Genomic DNA, 2,433 nt, shown 5'->3' with positions numbered 1-2,433 from the left:
TGTTTATGCAATAAACACATTTCCTCATAGCCATACTTTCAGATTTTCTTGGATGCTCTTAGCATCCTTTGTTTCCTTGCCCAGTTTCAGAAACTGACACTGCTCCTTGCCTGTCCAATCAATATCAGTCTCTACTTCCTTTTTTTTTTTTTTTTTTGTACAACTCTAATTTTCTGATGGGGTGGGGAGGGGGTTAGGCATGTGCATAGATGCATAACTACATACCCTTCCTTTGAAGATAGGGACGGCCCTGTGACTTACACTACCCAGCAGGATGCAATCAGAAGACACTGGGGGGAGCTCTAAGGACTGAGCTGACATGTGCCCTTTTGTACTTTGCCCTTTCTGTTTTTTTCCTGCCTGCAATGTAGACACTATAGTAAAGATAGAATATGCAGTGACGATGAAGGACAGACCATGAGAATCATAAACACTTTGGCCTTGACATCCTTGAACAATGAATTCACTTCTGCCAACTGTCTCCCTCCAGATTTCTCATTACTCATTGAGAAAAATAAAATTGCTCTGCCTCTGTCACTGCTGTGATGATGGTTCTGTGTAGGTCCATGCAGACTGCAGCCTGAGGTACACACCTCATGTCTCCACCTCCCTCCACCATTTCTGAATTCAGATGAAGTGCCAAAGGAACCCCATGATGCAACCAGGAAATGTGGGGAAGTGAACTCCCTCTAAGGTGAATTATGTAAGTCACTGTTCTTTGGGGTTTTACTATTTGCAGCTGAACTTATTCCCTAACTGATGCAAGAGGGGAAATAAATAAGAAAAATCTATGTAGAAAGATATTTTCATACTACAATAAAAAGAAATATGTGCACAAAAAATAGACTTTTCTTGCTCTACTCCCAGATTCTTCTGAGGACAATCTGCCACCAACATTCTTTCTCTCTCTTTGTACTACTTCAAAAGTAGAGCAAATACGCTGCTTCTGATTGGGCAGTGGCAGATGTTGGGCAAAAAAGAAATTGATCCACCATTCACAGCAATGCCCCATTCCTCCAGGGACTGTGGTGCTGGGCGATGCACCTGGGAAAATACTGCACATGAGTTTCAAGGGCAGAACTGGAGAACTCATGTACTAACAGATTTCCCTCTGGTGGGGAGGCTTGGGTCCTAGTGGTCTGGGGTTAATAGAAAGTAAAAAACAATCTATATCCGCAACAGTGAAGGGACCAAGCCAGAGAGCCAGGCATATAATAGATATAAAGGGCCAAGAGTTAAAGCTAGCTAAGCAGTTATGATTGGGTGACAAAGCAATGAAAGCCTGAGGCAGGGATTAGGAGTAATGGTGCAGAGCCAAAAGGTTGGAGACTAGAGAAGATGAGAATATGGAACATTAGTTTCATGGCAATCTATCTCCTTCACTGAGCTTTGTCTTTGCTGGTTACTAAGATTGTGGTCTGAACAAGCAGGGATCCAGATGGAAGAGACAGAGGAAGTTTACTCTTCTTCATTAAAAACCCACAAAATTTATCAATCCATTCAGTATCCCTTATCCAGATTATCTATCTATCTATCTATTCATCTACCAAATATTTACTGAGGATTTGCTCAGAGGAAGATATCCTTCTGTGGTTTTACATTCTCTTAGTAACCCATTATATTATCCAGGGGGAAAGGTGATTGTGGTAATGACAAAAATGACACAAGTTTTAAAATTGTACTAGGTTGGTAACTACAATTAAAAATTCTGGTATCGCTGTCATAGCACTGCCACAGCCACCCCACTACAATAGTATAATAGTTACAACCTGGCCAGTTTATTTTTAAGATTAATTAATTTGTACCATACAGCCTTAATTTGGTTTTCTAGAACCCAAGTGTCTACGGCAAGGTTGAGAGGAAATGCTTTATTGGGAGGTGTAATCCCAGGGCAGTGAAAGTGAGGAAAGGAGAATTAAAACAGGGAAGGGTAAGAAGCAAATACCAAGTGGGCTACTTCTTTACAAGATTTGAAGAGACACAGTGAATAGCTTGGCCACATGGCTGATCTCCAGGGAGTCTGTTCAGAAAACCTGTGCCTTGGAACGTTCTACTGAACATAGAAACAGAGAGAATACTTACCTGGTGTCTTCCTGCCATCCCTCTTGCCCATTGGTTAAAGGATAACTGTCCCACATTTCCTGGTTGCATCATGGGGTCCCTTTGCCACTTCCTCTGAATGCAAAAACAGTGAGAGGAGTTAACGACATGAAGTGTGGATGTTAGGCTGCGGTCTGCATGGACCTGCACAGAGCCATCATCACAGTAGTGACATAGGCAGAGGAAGCTGCCAACATCCGAGAGGCTGGCAAGGCCATGAGGATCGGAGGAGGTGCATACAATGCCATCTTCTGCAAAGGCTGTGTGGCAGCTCACCTGGATAAATAAATATGGAAAGGAGATTAAATTAGGATATTGAAAAGAAGAATAAGG

General features: G+C 42.3%; 1 annotated feature.

The window, feature by feature from the left end:
* Positions 224–353: a silencer, noted in NCBI's record as "silent region_16237". NCBI's record gives its function as "represses an Ori minimal core promoter by ATAC-STARR-seq in GM12878 lymphoblastoid cells {active_cell/tissue: GM12878}" and the evidence as "EXISTENCE:reporter gene assay evidence [ECO:0000049][PMID:35858748]".

This window comes from Homo sapiens, chromosome 5, assembly GCF_000001405.40.
Source record: "Homo sapiens chromosome 5, GRCh38.p14 Primary Assembly".
Lineage (NCBI taxonomy): Eukaryota > Metazoa > Chordata > Mammalia > Primates > Hominidae > Homo > Homo sapiens.
Note: the sequence above shows the minus strand (reverse complement) of the source record. Positions and strands in the feature narration are given on the sequence as shown.